The 19,466-nt window shown below is 36.3% G+C and overlaps 1 protein-coding gene and 1 long non-coding RNA gene across 9 annotated transcripts in view; one reads left to right on the top strand and one right to left on the bottom strand.

Moving 5' to 3' along the window:
• LINC02718 (long intergenic non-protein coding RNA 2718) overlaps positions 1–19,466 on the top strand; it is a 376,384-nt gene that overhangs the window by 13,283 nt on the left and 343,635 nt on the right. The gene's annotated exons all lie outside the window — the stretch shown is intronic.
• On the bottom strand, positions 4,226–17,778 carry CCDC179 (coiled-coil domain containing 179). 3 transcript variants are annotated; one of them, XM_011519802.3, is made up of 5 exons: positions 17,681–17,778; positions 16,756–16,800; positions 15,226–15,330; positions 6,681–6,781; positions 4,226–4,825 (listed from the first exon to the last, which is right to left on the bottom strand). In XM_011519802.3, exons 1-5 carry the CDS (start codon positions 17,723–17,725, stop codon positions 4,756–4,758), a joined length of 366 nt encoding a protein of 121 aa, XP_011518104.1. In that variant the 5' UTR covers positions 17,726–17,778; the 3' UTR covers positions 4,226–4,755. The 3 variants fall into 3 exon arrangements, with proteins under 3 accessions (XP_011518104.1, NP_001182566.1, XP_011518105.1); NM_001195637.2 differs by lacking the exon at positions 6,681–6,781; XM_011519803.3 differs by lacking the exons at positions 4,226–4,825; positions 6,681–6,781 and adding an exon at positions 13,919–13,956.

Consider the following 19,466-nt stretch of genomic DNA (forward strand, 5'->3'; position numbering starts at 1 on the left):
CTGAGGATGTCAGTGCAAAAGACATCAGCCATGATTCATGGGCAGCCAGAGAGGGATTCATATCTTACCACTTTGTTTCTTAGCATTTAAGGTGGCCCCTCCCCTGCTGCTTTCTTTTCTCTTTTCAGTGTTTTTGAGAAATTTTATGACAAGGTAATTTGAGCAGGTTTATTCTTTGTTTTGCTTAGTGTTCTTTACAGCATTTTGGATCTGTGGGTTTCATTTTCATCAAATTTGGAAATGTTTTAGAAATGTGATATGTTTTGTCTGTGACTCCACCCAAATCTCATCTTGAATTGTAGCTCTTATAATTCCCACGTGTCGTGGATGGAAGCTGGTGGGAGGTAATTGAGTCATGGGGGCGGGTCTTTCCCATGCTATTCTCGTGGTAGTGAATAAGTCTCAGGAGATCTGACGGTTTTACAAATGGGAGTTCCCCTGCACAGGCTATCTTTTGCCTGCCACCATGTAAGAAGTCCCTTTGTTGGGCCAGGCATGGTGGCTTACACTTGTAACCACCATGGGAGGTGGCTTACACTTGTAACCACTTGGGAGGCCAAGGTGGGCGGATTACTTGAGGTCAGGTGTTCGAGACCAGCCTGGCCAACATGGTGAAACCCCATCTCTACTAAAAAAAAAAATACAAAAATTAGACAGGCGTGGTGGCACATGCCCATAGTCGCAGCTACTTGGAAGGCTGAGGCACGAGAATTACTTGAACCCAGAAGGCAGATTGCAGTTAGCTGAGATGGTGCTATTGTACTCCAACCTGGGCAATGCAGTGAGACTCCATCTCAAAAAAGAAAAAAAGAAGTACCTTTTCTCTTCCTTCATCTCTGCCGTGATTGTGAGGCCTTTCCGGCCATGTGAAACTGTGAGTCCATTAAACCTCTTTTCTCTATAAATTACCCAGTCTCAGGTATGTCTTTATTAGCAATGTGAGAACAGACTAATACAGTAAATTGGTACTGGTTGAGTGGAGTACTACTGTATAGGTACCTGAAAATGTAAAAGCGACTTTGGAACTGGATAACAGGCAGAAGTTGGAACAGTTTGGAGGGCTCAGAAGAAGACAGGAAGATGTGGAAAGTTTGGAACTTCCTAGAGACTTGTGGAATGGCTTTGACCAAAATGCTGATGTTGATATGGACAATAAGGTCTAGGCTGAGGTGGTCTCAGATGGAAATGAGGAACTTGTTGAGATCTAGAGTAAAGCTCACTCTTGCTATGCAAAGAGACTTGTGACATTGTGCCCCTGCCCTAGAGATCTGTGGACATTTGAATTTGAGAGAGATGATTTAGAGCATTGAGTAGAAGAAATTTCTTAGTGGCAAAGCGTTCAAGAAGAAGCAGAGCATAAGAGTTTGGAAAATTTGCAGCCTGACAATGAGATAGAAAAGAAAATACCATTTTCTGAGGGGAAATTCAAGTCAGCTGGAGAAATTTACATAAGTAATGAGGAGCCAAATGTTAATTGCCAAGACAATGGGAAACATGTCTCCAGGATATGTTAGAGGTCTTCACAGCAGCCCTATCTATCACAAGCCAGGAGACCTAGGAGGAAAAAATGGTTTTGTGGGCCAGGTCCAGGGCCTTGCTGCTTCATGCAGTCTCAAGATTTGGTGCTCTGTGTTCCAGATGTGGCTTAAAGGGGCCAACATAGAGCTCAGGTCATTGCTTCAGAGAGTGCAAGCCCCAAGCCTTGGTGGGTTACATGTGGTATTGGGCCTGAGGGTGCACAGAAGTCAAGAATTCAGGTTTGCAAACCTCTGCCTAGATTTCAAAAAATGTATGGAAATACCTGGAGGTCCAGACAGAGGGGTGCTGCAGGGATGGAGCCCTCATGGAGAACCTCTGCTAGGGCAGTGAGGAAGGGAAATGTGGGGTACAAGCACCCACAGAGTTCCCACTGGGGTACTACCTAGTGGAGCTGTTAGAAGAGGGCTACCATCCTGCAGGCCCCAGAATGGTAGATCCATTGACAGCTTTCACCATGCAGCTGAAAAAGCTGCAGACAATGCCCCCTCGTGAAAGCAGCCAGGAGGGGGCTGTACCCTGCAAAGCCACAGGGGAGGAGCTGCCTAAGACCATCGGAACCCACCTCTTGCATCAGCGTGACCTGGATGTGAGACATGGAGTCAATGAAGATCATTTTGGAGCTTTAAGATTTGACTTCCGCTCTGGATTTCAGACTTGCATTGAACGTTTAGCCCCTTTGTTTTGTCCGATTTCTTCTATTTGGAATGGGTGTACTTTCCCAATGCCTATACCCTCATTGTATCTAGAAAGTAACTAACTAAATTACTTTTGATTTTACAGGCTCCTAGGCAGAAGGGATTTGCCTTGTCTAAGATGGAACTTTGGACTGTGGACTTTTGGGTTAATAGTGAAATGAGTTAAGACTTTTGGGGACTGTTAGGAAGGTGTAATTGGTTTTGAAATGTGAGGACATAAGATTTGGGAGGGACCAGGGGCAGAATGATATAGTTTGTGACCCCACCCCAATCTCATCTTGAATCGTAGCTGCCGTAATTCCCACATATTATGGGAGGGCCCCAGTGGGAGATAATTGAACCATAGAGGGGAGTCTTTCCTGTGCTGTTCTCAGTGTGGTGAATAAGTCTTATGAGTCCTGATGGTTTTATAAATGGGAGTTCCTCTGCACAAGCTCTCCCTTACCCGCCACCACATAAGAAGTCCCTTTACTCTTTCCTCATCTTCTGCCATGACTGTGAGGCCTCCCCAGCCATGTGGAACAGTGAGTCCATTAAAGCTCTTTTCTTTATAAATTACCCAAACTCAGCTATATCTTTATTGGCAGTGAACAGACTAATACAAAATGTTTTTAAAATTCTCATCCCAACTCATTCTGACATACCCAGTTATTCATATGTTAGACCAGTTGATATGGTCTCACAAGTCAGTGAAGCACTAATCATTTTCCCACTCTTTTATCTTTGCTTCAGCTTGGATTTTTCCAGCTATATTTATTATATCTTCAATTTTAGTGACTTCTTTATTTGTATTTAATATACTGTTAATTTAATTTAGTGAATTTTTGAATTTTTGGTATTTTTAAAAGTTCCATTTACTTCTTTTTAATATCTTTCATTCCTCTCTTTGTGTTCATGTTTTTTTTTAATTACTGAGCATAGTTAACATATTCGTAATATATGTTTAAGTTAATTTTTCCTAATTCTATTTTTTTTCATTTCTGTGTCTGTTTCTATTGATTTTTATCTTCTCCCAATCATGTATTTTGTTTTCCTGCTTTTTGGCATGCCTAGAAATTTATTATTGGATACTAGACATCGTGTATGTTAAATACCTGGATTTTGTAGTCTTTGTTCTGGTGGGCAGTTACTTGCAGATAAGTCTGATTTTTTCAAACTAGTTTTTAAGCATCCTTAGGCTAGGCCTAGAGTCATCTTTATGCTACAGGTAATTTACCACTACTACTAAGACATGACTCTTATGGTCTCTCTACTAAATGCCCTGTTTGAACAACAAGGACTCTCCATGCCTCTGGCCAAAATTCAAGCATCTACCTCTGGAGGTGTGAATGCTGAGGATTGTTTAGTTTATCGCTAACCAGTTCTTCACTACCTAGCATTGTGGAGAAAAGAAAGAATAAAAAGATGTGACCTTTTTCAGTTTCATTCTGTGCACATGCAGCTTATCAATGAGCAGACTCAACATGAGCAATATGCACACCTACAAAGTTCTTTGCATAGTTCTTACTGTGGAACCCTTCCCTACAACTTCCAGCTTCCCCAGACTCCCTGAATTTTTATTTCTGTTCATCAACTCACCTTCAACTCAGGATAACTGCTGTGCTCTACTTATAATCCTTTTCCCTGGATGATGATCTGGAATGCTCCTCCAGGCAGTAAATGGATAATTATAGGATTACTCTCATTTATTTATCTTGTCTCAGAAGTCACAGTCCTTCTCACTTTTGTTCCATTTCTGGGAAACCATGTTTTCAATATTTTGTCCTATCTTCTAATTGCTTATTGTGGAAGCATAATTATAGTGCTTCCATCATTTCCAATAGTAGAATTCCCTGTACCTCACTTTAAATTGCATATTAGAGATTGCAAATCGGTTACCAAATATAATGTTCATGTGAATCCAATAGTTTGTAATCTTTTAATTTATAAAATAATTGTGATAATTCAATCTATATATTAGAAATTACTTAAGTATTATAGTTAAGAAAGATTTTAGAGAGTCAGCAATAATTATAATTTATTTCATACCTAAAAGTAAAATTTTAATTCAATATTCAAATTTTACCTTAAATGGAAATTTTAATTACACTATGGCTTATCTGCAATAGCAACACAAAATACAGGAGTTAGTTATAATAACAGTCTCCTAGGACTGTTTAAAGTATTTAAACATTTTGTTTAAATGGAAGTCATTATAAATATACAGCAGAGGAAATCTGGTGTTCTATTATTATAACATACTTCTAAACATCTAAATATGTCATAAAACATTTGCAAAAATTTAAATGAGAATAATATTTTTCAAAAGTCTACCTATACATATTCATTATTATTTGTTGAAAAGCAGCAAATTTCAAGTTTACCACAGGAAAGAAAAATATGGTAGTGAGAGATGGCATTTAATAAAATTCTAGAGCCTGTAGCTTGGATATTAAATACTTGCACTGTGTTTATTTTTCCGAAATGGTGGAGTATTGCATTTATTTTGTGGATGATCAATTCATGATATGTCACTTGATGTTCACAATCCACATATTTCTGTCTGGAGCATGGTTTCCTTCAAATAGACTCCTGCTTTATCAAGATGACCACTAGACAAGATTAAAATACACAAAGAATAAGAAATTTAATTAAAATTTATATAAGGAAAGATTAGATATACTATAAATTATTTGGAAATGGTCTCATGGAAAACCTATTTCATACAAGAAGTATTATAAAAAATAATCATTAATAGCTAGGAATGCTATTTTAAACTAAAGTAAGGTCACATTCAGATAGAAGCCAGATACAAAAATAATTATCATCAAATAAATCATATCTGAAGATGGATATGATATAAAACAATTCTCTATAAGTCATACAACAAATACCGCAAGCAGAAAGAATTTGTAGAAACCCTGGATATCAGTTTTGAGAAAGGTCAAAGTCATTTCTATACATAATAGATGTGATAGAGATGTTAAATAAGGCTTTTATTTTCCAAGTCTTATGCTCTGTGAGTGACTAACACAGCATATTTTAGGCATCTGTTGAGTGTGTTTATGTCTGAAAATGACCCAGAATAAAGTGAGCAACAGGGACAAATAAAAGACAAGAAAAATGAAAAAATTGCCTACATCAGTATTGGCAGAAATTTAACCTTAAAATAATATTTAAGGATAATTTTAACATTCATAAATACATACACTTAACGATATAATTTTTAAAAGGTTTTATTATATAAAAGTTGGCCAAGCATGGTGGCTTACGCCTGTAATCCCCACATTTTGGGAGGCGGAGACAGGAGGATTACCTGAGGCCAGGAATTTGAAACCAGCCTGGCCAACATGGTGAAACCCCATCTCTACTAAAAATACAAAAATTAGCTAGGCGTGGTGGCACATGCCTGTAATCCCAGCTACTTGGAAGGCCGAGGCAGGAGAATTGCTTGAGCCCGGGAGGCGGAGGTTGCAGTGAGCAGAGATTGTGCCACTGCACCCCAGCCTGGCCGACAGAGGGAGACTGTGTCTCAAAAGAAAAAAAAAAAAGTTTACAGACAAAAATAAAAACAAAAATATTTTTTCAAACTTCTTTTAACAACTGTGTTCTAACTTCATCGCACGTCCTCTGTTGTACTGGGCAAAAGTTATTTGTCAAATAAAGTACTTATTTGTAGGAATTCAGGCTTTTATTTTGTCCCAAAACATTTAAATTGTACAAAAACTGTTATTGCATTTTTTTCTTAAAGATTGATTTAAGCAGAAAAAAATGAGAAGAGGGCATTAGTAGGGATACTGCTTATAACAAAGCAAATTGCAAAATGTATAAGAGATGAAAAGGTAAAATGAGAAGAATTAACAAAGATTAAAGCAGTGTTACTCTGTGGTATGGTTTCTGGTGTGTCATATTCATTATCACTTTGAGACAAGATTAATAGAGAAATTGAGAGTAAACATTTGTATTCATTTGTAACAGTTTGATACTGTGATGACATTATGAGCAATTGTCTATGTTAAAAATTATCAATCCACAATGATTTGAAAATTAAAATGAAATGAAACAAAACAAAATTAAAGTAACTGTTTTTGACCATATTTGAGAAGGACTGAGTGCCTGAGCTTAAATGGGAGATACTATACATCTTGGTCAATATATAGAAGAAAAACTAGAATACGGTTGTCACAGTAACTCTTTGTTATTGCTATTCTTTGAAAAGTGAAGAGAAACCTTTTAGTATAGTTTTTTCGAACTTTGAGCTCCTCAATGTGCTTTCTTGGAAGAAAGGTATACTTTCTCTTTTATGAGTTATCAGAGCCTTTATAATTGCCTAATACCATTAGTAAAAAGTATCTGGATGTTCTGAAGACAATTCCAGAATTTTTGTATCAATGCAAAAGAAAACATAAGTACCAGAATGAACTTAGGATTTTCATATTTAATATATCTTATTTTGCATATTCTTACTTATTTGTGAAACATTTCAGTTGTCTCTGCAACCTCAAACCAGTTGGTGGGATGAATGGTATAGAACAGTTTGTAGACATTTCTTTAAAAAACATCTGGGACTTCAAGAAAAAAAGGGGGAGCTTTTTTCAGTTTATAGCAACTTATTTTATTTCAATTGTTTTTGGGGGAACAGGTGGTTTTGGTTATATTCATAAGTTTTTTAGTGGTGATTTCCGAGATTTTTCTGTACCCATCAACAGACCAATATACACTATACCCAACGTATAGTCTTTTAGCCCTCACTTTCCTCCCTTCCTTCCCCATGTGTCTCGAAAGTCCATTATATCATTCTTATGCCTTTGCAACCTCATGGCTTAGCTCCCACTTGTAGGTGAGAAGGAGGCAGCTACATTGTCTGGGGTAGATACCCAGGGTTCGTTGTCCCGTACCAAGAAAATTTAGGACACGGACACACATGAGGAATTTAGGAGTGGAGGTTTAATAGGAGGAAGAAAGAGACTGGAAAACAGCTCTCTCTCTAGTGAGAGAGAGGAGATTCCTGAGAGGAAAGACGGGCCGGTGGTGGAGGCGACAGATTTTATAGTCAGGCTTGAGGAGGCGTCTGATTTACATAGGGCTCACAGATTGGTTCACTCAGGTATGATGTTTACATAGCATGCAGGGAAGGCTGGCCACCTCACTCTAATCTTCTTATGCAGATGAACTTACCCCTTGGCCATTGCCATCTTCTCTGCTTCTTACTATACACGTGGCTGGCAGAGAAGGGAAGATGGAGCTGTCATTTTGAACATGATTGGTACAATGGCCAGCATCTATGTCTGCAGCTCGATTTTATAGGCTGCCCTTTGTTAGGAGGAAAATGATTTGGAGCTGCTTTTCATTAAAGGGAAAACCTTAACAAGGACTTCCATACCCTTACTATCTGCCTAAGTAATTTCTTCTTAACTCCTGTATCAAGAACACATGATATTTTATTTTCCATTCCTGAGTTTCTTCACTTAGAATAATGGTCTCCAACTTCATCCAGGTTGCTGCGAATGCCATTATTTTGTTCCATTTTATGGCTGTTCTATTTTATCCATATACCAGATTTTCTTTATCCACTGGTTGTTTGATGTGCATTTAGCCTCATTCCACATTTTTGCAATTGCAAACTGCACTTCTATAAACATGCATGTGTAAGTGTCTTTTTAATATAACAACTTATTTCCCTCTGGGTAGATACCCAGTAGTGGGATTGCTGGATCAAATGGTAGTTCTAATTTTAGTTAAAAAGGGGAGCTTTTGAAATTAAAAACCTTAGATGGTTTGTTAAGGGCCAAGTCATGGAAGAAAACAAGATTGATGGTACTAGATATTGAAATGACAAAGGGATAGAAAGAGTAACCAAAATAACTGTGTGTAAATGAATCAAGAGGTACAGGGTTCAGAAATGGTGGCAATTGTCTTACACTATAGAAAGGTAGACCCAGGAATAATTCTCTTTTCTTTCCTATATCTCAAATTATGATACGTTATACTAAGAGATAACTTGGAAGGGGAAAATATATGTTGCATAGGCTATATATATATATATATATATATATATATATATATATTTTTTTTTTTTTTTTTTTTTTTTGCTGAGATGGAGTCTTGCTCTGTCACCCAGGCTGGAGTGCAGTGGTGCTATCTTGGCTCACTGCAAGCTCCACCTCCCAGGTTCACGCCATTCTCCTGTGCATAGGCATATTTTAATGCTTAAAAGAGAGACAAAGATTATGGGGTTGGGGTTATAAACACTGGTATATCAGCAAGGGAGGAGCTTTGTTGATAGTTAAGGCAAAACAATAACTGTGTATAGTTGATGGTCCTGGGTTTCTGTATGGCAATGTGTAAGTTCCCTTCATTATGCAAAAACAAATGGTAAACAAAGCCAATGGGTTGAACTTTTACTCATAATATAAATTTACTCCAAAATCTCAGAAAGGAGGAAGTTACAGAAAGATAATCCTCACAGTCTGAAAAAGGAAGGAAAGTACTTTCTTCCATGCTAATGGTACCTCTATTCTCTTCAGGGCAGCAAGGAAGTCAGTTTAATTTTTCACATCTCTAAATTTATTTGCAGCTAGGGGTGGCCAGTTAAACAATTTTGATCAAAGAAATTTAAGTGGAGCTTTCCAGCCTGACATATAAAGAGCTTGCAAATTGTTCCTTCCTTCCTTACAATAAGAAAAAAGCAGAACAATCTGAAAAGCAATTAATCTTGTTACATTCATCAGAGAAGTGAGGGCACAGGGCAAGCTGCTGCCCTGAAAACCAGAGAGACAGACAAGTGGATGTGGAGAATCAGAGCTTGCCAGGAACAAAATCCTTCTGCTAAGGCCAGTACCAGTGGGAACATGTCAACTTTATCTGATGAATGGCTGGAGGCTCAGTATGCATGAGCTTTAATTAAAAACTCTGGGTGTAGAGAGGACAGTCTTAGGGAAGCTCCCATAGTTTCCTAAATTTTACCTCCAGGAGCCTCACTAGATCTCACTGTAAGGATCAGAGAACAATCTTTTTTTTTGCTTCTAGTAGTGAAAGGGGAGAAGTAATCATTTAAAAATATGTCAGAGCTCTCCGTTCTCTTTACCAGAGCATGCTCTCAAGAGAAACTATTTTAGCAGAGCCTAAATAAATTGGGTTTTACCAAATTCTAAGTGACTTAGGGGAAAGGAAATACACAACTCCTGTTCCCTATAGCTTTCCTATCTCACCTAACAGGGATGATAGCAAAGAAGAAGTTGTGAAATTTACATCCCAGGGATAGGAAACTGCTCTTGCAGTGAAAAATTATGACAGTAAAGACTTCTGTTCTAACCAACTCCATCTTGCCTTTCACCTCCCAGCTGCCCTTGGTTATTCCAGGGCATGGACAAAGCTAACTATAGGAGAAATTTAGTTTATAGTTTAATAATAGCCCTTCCCCAAAATTAAACCACCTTTGTAAAACTAATGAAAGGCCACAAGGTTAGGAGGATGAGAGTGGCCTGAATTCTGCTAAGATGCAGGCATAGTCAAGTGATTACCAGCCATTATTCTGGAGGTCACAAGATTTGCAACTTCCCCTATTCACTATTGTAGAAACTAGGATTGACCTTTTCACATATCTTTTCAGGCTTTTGCATTTCTGATGACCAGGCAGCCCCACATGGACCCAAGACTCTTAGCTCAACTAGTCCTGTGGTCCCCACCCAGAAGTGGACTCACCTCATGAGGAGGCATTTTCCATACCCCTGTGATTTCATTCCCAACCAACCAGCAGCCCATTCCCATAGGCCCCTGCCCACAAAACTATCCTTGAAAAAGCTTAGCCTCCAAATTTTCAGAGAGGCTGATTGGAGTAATAATAAAGCTCCAGTGTCCTGTTTAGCTGGCTCTATGTGTATTAAACTCTTTCTCTATTGCAATTCCCCTGTCTTGATAAATTGGCTCTATCTGGGTAGTGTGCAAAATGAACCCACTGGGCAGTTATAGATACAGACTCACTTAAAGACTGAATCCTAATCATAGGCTATGGAACCCTTCTTCCCCTACAACTTACCAACACATCAATTAGTCTCCTGTATATATCAGAGGATTCCAGCTTTAAAAAATTGCAAGCTTCAGATATTATTTAAGAAAGAGTCCCTAGCAAGACCAAAAATAAGGAGGAAGACAAAACTGAATCAGGGGAAATTTTACCCTCTGATATCACAGTTACAAATAAACAGAAAATGCAGCCTAAATCTTAGTCAGATAAACATAAAACCTACACTAAAAGCTTGTCTTCCTTAGTTTCTGTTACCCAATACATCATATCCAGCTTTCAATAAAGAACTACAAGACACACTAAAGGGCAGAAACAATCTGAAGTGAAAAAGTAAGCACCAATCAGATCCAGACTCAGATAATAGCAGATATTTTAGAATTATCAGACTTGGAACTTACAATAATTATGACAAATATGCTAAGTTCTAATAGAAGAAGTGGACATGATGCAAGACAAGATGGGTAATACAAGGCAAAATGGAAAATCTAAGAAGAAATCAAACTAACACTAAAAGTCTAAAATATTTTAATGGAAATGAAGCATGACATTGATGGGCTCATTAATACACTGAACTCAGAGGAAAAAAACTAATTAGCTTAAAGATATGTAAATAGAAACTTTCCAAACTAACGGTAAGGAGAAAAAAGTATAAAAATATAGAATACATTATTCAAGAACTGAGCAACAATTACAAAAAGTATAAATATGTACAATTGGAAAAAAAAAGAAGGAAGGAGGAGAGGAAGAGGAAAAGGATGAAGAGGAAGAGGAAGAAGAAGAAAGAAGAAGGAAGAAGAAAGGAAGGAAGAGAAGGAGGAGAAACAGAATAAATATTGACATAATAATAGATGTGAACCTTCTAAAGTTAATGATAGACAACAAACCACAGATTCAGAAAATTCATAAGACACAAAGCAGGATAAACACCAGATAAATGTCTACATCTAGACTTATGAAATTTAAACTGCAAAAGAATCAGACAAAAATGAAATCTTGAAAGAAGCTGGGGGAAAGTGGTAGGATAGCTTACTTAAATAGGAACATGAATAACAACAATTACATAGGATTTCTTTACAGAAATCATGCAAGCAATAAGAGAATGGAGTAAAATATTTAAAGTGTTCAAAGAAAAAGAGCAGAAACCTAGGATTCTGTATCATGTGCAAGTATCCTTCCAAAGTGAAAGAGAACAAAAGACTTCTTCAGACAAACAAAAACAGAAGGAATATTTGTTACTAGTAGGCTTGCCCACACAGCAATAGTTAAGAAGTTTTCAGAGAAAAGGAAAATGTTGTAAGTCAGAAACTTGGACGTACTTAAAGGAAGAGCATTAGAAATGAAAAAAAAGAAGGTAAAATAAAATATTTTATCTGTCTTATTCTTAACTGATCTAAGAAATAATAATTTGTTCAAAATAATAATTGCAACAATGTATGTGTTGTTTATATTTTATGGACAAGTGAATGACAATAATGTTATGAAGAATAAGAAAAGGGGAATGGGAATACTATGTCAAAAGGTAACTGCATTACCCATAAAGTAGTATAGTGTTATTTGAAAGTGAACTTGAACAAATTATAAATGTATAGTTCAAATGCAAAGGAAACCACTGAAAAAGTTAAAAAATAAAATAAAGCAAGTATAATTGACATGCTAAGACAGGAGAGAATATTAAATAATATGAATTGCTCAAAACTAGAGAATGCAGAAGAAGAATGGAAAAGTAAATGGCATAAATGCAAGTAAAAACAAGTCCACAACTAAAAGACAGTAACAGATAAGGCACATACTAATTCGACTATATCAATAATCACTTCAGATGTCAATGATCTTAAAGACAAAGACTGTCAGAGTTAATACAAATACAATACACAACTGTATGTTGTTTACAAGAAACTCACTTTATAAGGGCAGATGGTGTCAAAGGGATGGAGAAAGATATACATTGCTAACAGTAATCAACAGAAAGCTGAAGTTGCATTATTAATTTCAGACAAACAAGACTTTAGAACAAGAAAAAGTATCAATGATAAAGAGGGACATTACATAATAATAATGGGGTAAAATTACATAGTAATCCTTAATGTGTTTGTTCCTAACAACAGAACGTCAAAATATGTGAGGCAAAAACTGATAAAAGTGCAAGAAGAAATAGACAAATCTGCTATCATAGCTGGAAATGTCAATTCTTTCTAACAGTAATTGACAGATCTAGCAGGCAGAAAATCTGTAAGAATGTATTTGAACTGAACAGCACCATCAGTCAGTTGGATTTAATTGACATTAATAGTTACTTTAATAACAGCAGAATACAGTTTTCTCAAGACACATGGAACATTCACCAAGACAGATCACATTCAATGTCATTAAAATATACTTTAACAAATTTAAAAGGATAGAAATCATACAAAGTGTGTTCTCAGACCACAGTGGAGTTAAACTGGAAACCAATAACAAGAAAGATAACTGGAAATTCCTCAAATATTTGGAAATTAAGAACATACTTACAACTAGCACATAGATCGATGAAGAGGTTTCAAAAGAAATTTAGAATATTCTGAACAAAATGAAAACGAAAATATGATTTATTAAAATTTATGGGATATAGTGAAAGTGATGCTTAGAGAAATTTTATAGCATTAAATTAATATATTAGAAAAGAAGTAGCTCTTTACTCAATAGTCTAAGATTTCACCTTAGGAAACCAGAAAAAGAAGAGCAAATTAAACCCAAAGTAAGCAGTAGAAAAGACATAAAAACTAGAGCAGAAATCTGTGAAATTGAAAACAGAATGCAATAGAGAAAATTAATGAAACCAAAATATAATTCTTTGAAAATATTAGTAAAATTGATAAACTTTTGCCAGACTAACCAAAAAAGACACAAATTACTAACATCATAAATAAGAGACCATAACTGCCAATCCCATGAACATTAAAAGAATAATAAAAGAACATAACCAATAGCTCTATGCTCATAAACTTGAAAACTTAGATAAAACTGACTAAATCTAAAAAGGATTCAATCTACTAAAATTCACACAAGACATAGATAATCTAAATAAGGTTATTATCTATTTAAAAAATTAATTAATAATTACCAATCTTTCAAAATAGAAAATACTAAACCCAGATGGTTTCACTGATTACCAAACATTTAAAAAAGAAACTACTAATTCTTTACAATATCTTGCAGAAAATAGAAGCAGAGGGAATACTTCTTGACTCATTCTGTAAGGTGAGCATTACCCTAATACCAAAACCAGAAAAAGATATTAAAAGACAGGAAAATGACAGACCAATACCTCTCATGAACATAGATGTAAAAATTCTCAACAAAATATTAGCAAATTGATCCAAACATGTGTAAAAATAATTATACACAATCTGAGACTTATCCCAAGAATGTAAGGCTGTTTCAACATCTTAAAATTATTTAATGAAATTCATCACGTCAAAAGGCTAAAGGAGAAAAATCATATGATCATATCAACAATGTATAATAAGAATTTGACAAAATCCAGTACCCATTTATGATAAAAGCTCTCAGTACTAGGTGTAGAGAGGGATGTCTTTCACTTCATAAGGAACATCTCTAAAATACCTAAACCTCACATTATAGTCACTGTCAAGAAACCAGATTTTTTTCAGTTAATATTAGGAAAAAGGCAAAAATGTACCTTCTCACTTCTGTTCAACATCATAATGGAAGACATAGCTAATGCAGTAAGACAAAAAAAGGAAATAAATGTTATACAGTTTGAGAAGAAAGAAATAAATTGTTCTGTGTCTTCGTTCACAGACGACCTGACTAAGTAGAAAATCTCAAAGAATCAACAATAACAATAAAAAACAAACAAAAAACTCTTGGAAGTAATAAACAATTATAGTAAGATTAGAGGATGTAAGTTTAATACAGAAAATTCAATTGATTTCCTTTATGCCAGCAATGAACAATTTGAATGCAAAGTGAAAAACAGCCTCCCATTTATATTAGCAACAAAAAATAAAATACTTAGGCATAAATCCAAGAAAATATGTATAAAATCTGGATGAGGAAAATTATAAAACTCAGGTAAAAAAGATGATCTAAATAAATAGGAGAAATTCTATGTTAATTTATAGGAAGACTCAATATTGTTAAGATATCAGTTATTTCCAAACTGATCCTTTGGATCCAGCACAATCCCAATAAAAATTCTAGCAAGTTACTTTGTAGATTTCAACAAACTGATTCTAAATTTTATATTGAAAGGGAAAAGTTCCAGAAAAGCCAACACAACATTGAGGGAAAAGAACAGAAGAGGACTGACACTACCTGATTTCTAGACTTATTGTAAATCTATAGTTTTCGAGACAGTATGGTATTGATGAAAAACAGGATTCAACGAGACAGAATAGCGAGCTCGGAAATAAACCCACACAAATATATAGTCAATAAATCTTTGATAAGGAAGCAAAGGCAATACAATAGAGAAAAGATAGTCTTTTCAACAAATGGTACTAGAACTTGACATCTACATGAAAATGATAATGATAATAATCTGGACACTGACACCTTTCAGTAACATTAACTCGCTATGGATCATAAACCTAAATGTAACATACACAACTGCAAAACTTCTAGGAGATAATACATAAGAGAACTAATGTGACCTTAAATTTGGCAATAAATTTTCAGATATATAGCCAAAAGATTTAAGTGATTAACCTTATGTAGTCATCTAACATATGGCAAAACAAGAAGTGGAGTCCAGAACAACCTGGTTTCAAAGATAATCCTCTTTTCATTAAACCATATCACCTCCAGGAGATGACAGCAGAGGATATTTAAATAATAGATGAGATAAGACTTTTAAGACTGAAATTAGAAATTTCTCAAAGAGAAAGGGAAAAAGAAAATTTATAGTGAATATTACATGAATTAAAATGATGATATCAGTTGCATTTAATGATCTGTTAATTTCAGTGAAACCTCTATACTTACTAGGAGTCCTGGTTCTGGAATAGGAGAAGGCCTTGAAAACCTTTTATTCAGTCTCCTCTTCTCTTTCTTTAGGTGTTGCATATTCTGAATACGTTTATTTGCAAGCTTTAGAAAAATTAAAATGAAAGAAAAATCATACTTTTTTGTAACATATAAAGGTAACATTCTGATTACATTTTTGGTTTGTGTCAATAAAAAAGGTAAACACCACCACTGCAAACGGTTCACATAACTACATAGAAATAGGGCGAAAAATCTCTTTCATTCAAATGTATGGTTCATAGGTGAAGAAAACCACATTGGAGCATCAGTAGGGTTTTCAAATAAGACTATTCTTGATTCTCATCTTACCACTGCATACACTTAAGTAGATCCAGACTCATGGATTAGTGTGCTTACTTTTGCTTTAAAAATAATGTTCATTAAGGACACCTAGGGAATTTTCTCTATAGAAATATGAAAACAATTATTCACTCCTTTGAAATGTTGCATGACACACATAGCTTTTTATGCCACCATTGTGTGGCGTCTACAAGTAGCAGATACCTAGGAGATCAAACTAGAATGCTTTTAAGATAATGAAATACAGTAATAGAATAGAAAGGATATGAATAACAATAACTTTTTTATCCACTTCCAGTGAAGTATCAATTGGTACAATTGCTTTGAAAACCAACTTTTTAAAAAATCCACTGATAACAGAATATAAACTTGAACAATTGCTTTGAAAACAGTGTGGCACTACTTTCTAACAATAAAAAATTTGCTTTTCCTATGATTCAACCATTACACTCCTGCCTAAATAATCAAATGGCATTCTTGTGCATGGGGCAAGAAGATGTGTACTAGAATGTTTGCAATAGTACTATTCATTTTAGGAAAATGTAAAAATAACACAATGTCCATAAACAAGAGAAAGGATTAATGAACTGTGATATGTTCCATGACAAAATATTGAACAGCAGTGAAAATAAAGAAACTATATACAGCAATGTAGATAAATCTTAGGAAATAATATTGAGAAAAAAGAGTAAATCATACACTAAATTTTGTGTGATCCTATGTTTATAAAGTTCAAAACCAAGCAAAAGCAAATAGTGCACTTATAGAGACACCTATGTAACAAACTATTAAAGAAGAGGAAGAGATTGATGTAGCTAAAATTCAAGATGGAGGTCACCTCTGGGAGAGACCTTAGGAGGTAGAATAGAAAAGCATTCCCTAGCTGGATTCAGAAATACCTAATATTTTAATCCTTAAATGGGAGGCATATTGTAATTTATAAATTATATCTGCCACATCTATTTTTGTATATGTGTCAAATGTTACATTAAAAAATAACATAAGCCATTTAGTTTACCCTAGTTAAGACCCATTCCAATAGTAGTCATTAGATCCCAGAGTCCCAAGAAATATACTGAAGTGTCTACTTAATACAAGTTCTATTATGTTAGGGACCACTACATAAAGGAACAAGTTACAAGCACAATGTTTAAACAACCAGAACCTAGTTCTTTATTTAAACATTACCTGCCGCTCAGTGACCTCTGAAGGATGATGTTGTCTTGGTCCTTCCTATATAATAAACAAAATTAAAACACATTCACACAAAAAAGTCATTAAAAACAGTAAATTAATTATTATAATAGGAAGCCTATGCTACTTTTAAATTTATGTATTATATGAATCATTTCAACTATAAGAAGCAGGTTAAAAAAACAAAAAGAAAAAAGTCAAGTTCAGAATAAAAACATCTAAGATAAAAATTGTGGTGGAAGATGGAGACGATATTATGATAAAAAAGAACCAGCTGTGAACCACCTTACAGATAAAAGGCAGAGTATAGAGATATATTCGGGAGGGAAAGAATGTACGAGAAATCGAAAAATGCATGTTTCTGCTTCTACAGGACTTCAGTGGTGCTATTGAGCAATCTAGTCTTCAATCTGGTTTCAAAGCCTAGGAGTAATTGGTGATGTGATTGAGATCGTATGGTTTTCTGAAGCACAGGGAGCTTGGCTGTTAGTTTTCGAGATTCTCACCACTTCCTCTATTTCTTGATTGTACCTTAAATAACTCCTCCTTCACTCGTTTTGATCCAATCTTTTAACCAGAAGACCCAAGAGCAATCTGTTCCACATCTGGCAATTGAGAACTTTATCCTGCTCCCTACTTCTGTAATTTCCACTCCACCTCCTAGGGCAGGCCAATGGGGCAGTCAACATACAGGTGATGTACCTGACCCCTAAGCACACAGTGGGTGGAGCTTTTTCTTGTTTCAGAGGGGTCCAGCAGTCAGGATGTAGTCTGTCTACATCACCTGGAATTTCCCAACCCCCAGCACCAAACCACATTTACAAGAGTTAGAAGCACCATGGCCAAGGCCACAGTGGCCTGGAGCTCAAGGCACAGGACAGAGTGGCAGAGTTGAGGTTGTAGGCCCCAGCAGACTCACAGGGTTGACTTGGGAAGGCTCGATGTCCCAGCAATACAGGCACATGCCGTGGAGCCTTAGGGCGCCCCCTGACGCCTACTGCCTGTCCTGGACCAAATGATTATGGGGCCCCACACCCACAGCCTTCAAGCCCTGCCCCACCCAGTTCCATCACTATTCTCTTTATTCTTCTCCCTGCTATGGGCCCCACCCTTTCCCCAGTTGTATTCCAGTCCAGTGCAGGGAAGGCAAGGCCTCAAGTTGTCTGCAGTGTCTTTGAGTTATGGAAGTCAGTTTACCATAATTCCTTATATCCTATCCTTCTTCCTCAGAAAATTGCAGAATACCAATTTCCCACCTTTTCTACCCTTCATCTCTCTAGTCTCTCTCTTTATAAAGCCCCTTTCATTTGTTAACATATCTAGCTTAGTCTCCATGTTCTCTTACTTCAGACTGTCTATCTATTGTTAGGGTTCTCAATTCCACCACCTCATTGTTGTTCCTTCACAGCTTCTAGTTGGGCTGACCCAACTGTCTGCCTTCTTCCCATCTATCTATACCAGATGAAGTGAGGAGAAGCTTGAAGATGGCTGGAATACATATTTGTGACCCCAGATCTATTTATTTATTTATTTTCTTTTTTCTTTTTTTTTTTGGCCAAGTCTCTCTGTCGCCCAGGCTGGAGTGCAGTGCTACAATCTTAGCTCACTGCTACCTCCACCTCACTGCTACCTACACCTCGAGGGTTCAAGCAATTCTCCCATCTCAGCCTCCCGAGTAGCTGGGACTGCAGGCGCATGCCACAATGCCTGGCTAATGATTTTGTAGTTTTAGTAGAGACAGGGTTTTACCATATTGGAGGCTGTTCTCAAACTCCTGACCTCAGGTGATCCACCCGTCTTGCCCTCCCAAAGTGCTGAAATTACAGGCGTGAGCCACCAGGCCCGGCCGTGACCCCCAATTTAAACTGGGTCCTCAAAGCTGCTTAAGACTTTTATGTTGCACCAGCTTTTTTTGTGCTCTGCAGTATTCCCTTCAAATTGTCTTCTATTAAAATCTCTGAATCCACCAACACTCAGGCACTTCCAGTAGAAGTGGGACAATCCGTGCTTCACACTCTGATGCTGGTGAACATGTATAGAGCTTACTATGCTCAGCACTGTTACATGAATTTATATGTGTTAACTGATCAAGTCTTTAGACCACTCAAGGTGGGTAAGGGCATGATTATAATCACTGGGAAACAAGGCGCTAGCATGTTAAATTGCTTTCTTGAAGTTACGCTATTAGTAAGAGGGTGAGCTGGAATTTAAATCCAGGGTTGGCCCTTAGATCATGTGCTCCTAATTATGTGCTATGCTACCATTGCTTTTGAAGCCCTCACTGGGGCTACCTCAATACCACCTAAAATCCTATAACCTTGTCAATATCCACATTATCCTTTTCCCTGTAACCCTGTCGAAATGGAAAAAAAAATTGGTATCCCTTCTGTTGCCTCAAATAAATCTATCCATTTGCATTTGCATGCCATTTCCCTCCTAGGAGCCTCCTCAGATCTAGCTCTACAGATTGTTCCTCTCCTTGTTAACTTCTCTATATTGCCTCTTTCCTTTAAACATTTCATTACTGTAAGTTCAAATCTCCCCCTCTCCAAACTAATAAAGGAAACTCCTTAGAACAACAACCAATTGTATCTATTGCCCATCCCCTCTATATAAAGTAAATATTCATGAGAGTGGTCTGTACCTCTGCCTCTTCTTTATGTTCAGTGTAAGATTTGGCTTACTGAAACCTGTTTCAACTCCCA

This window comes from Homo sapiens, chromosome 11 (assembly GCF_000001405.40).
Source record: "Homo sapiens chromosome 11, GRCh38.p14 Primary Assembly".
NCBI lineage: Eukaryota > Metazoa > Chordata > Mammalia > Primates > Hominidae > Homo > Homo sapiens.

What these genes read in the sequence shown, in the direction of transcription:
- CCDC179 (XM_011519802.3), bottom strand. Translation starts at nt 17,725, where the DNA reads ATGTGCCTGTATTGCTGGGACATCGAGCCTTCCCAAGTCAACCCT. An exon ending in CAGAGGTCACTGAGCGGCAG is followed by an intron (nt 15,331 to 16,755) that starts GTAATGTTTAAA and finishes ATTTTTCTAAAG; the next exon opens with CTTGCAAATAAACGTATTCA. An exon ending in CTGAAATGTTTCACAAATAA is followed by an intron (nt 4,826 to 6,680) that starts GTAAGAATATGC and finishes AATCTTGTCTAG; the next exon opens with TGGTCATCTTGATAAAGCAG.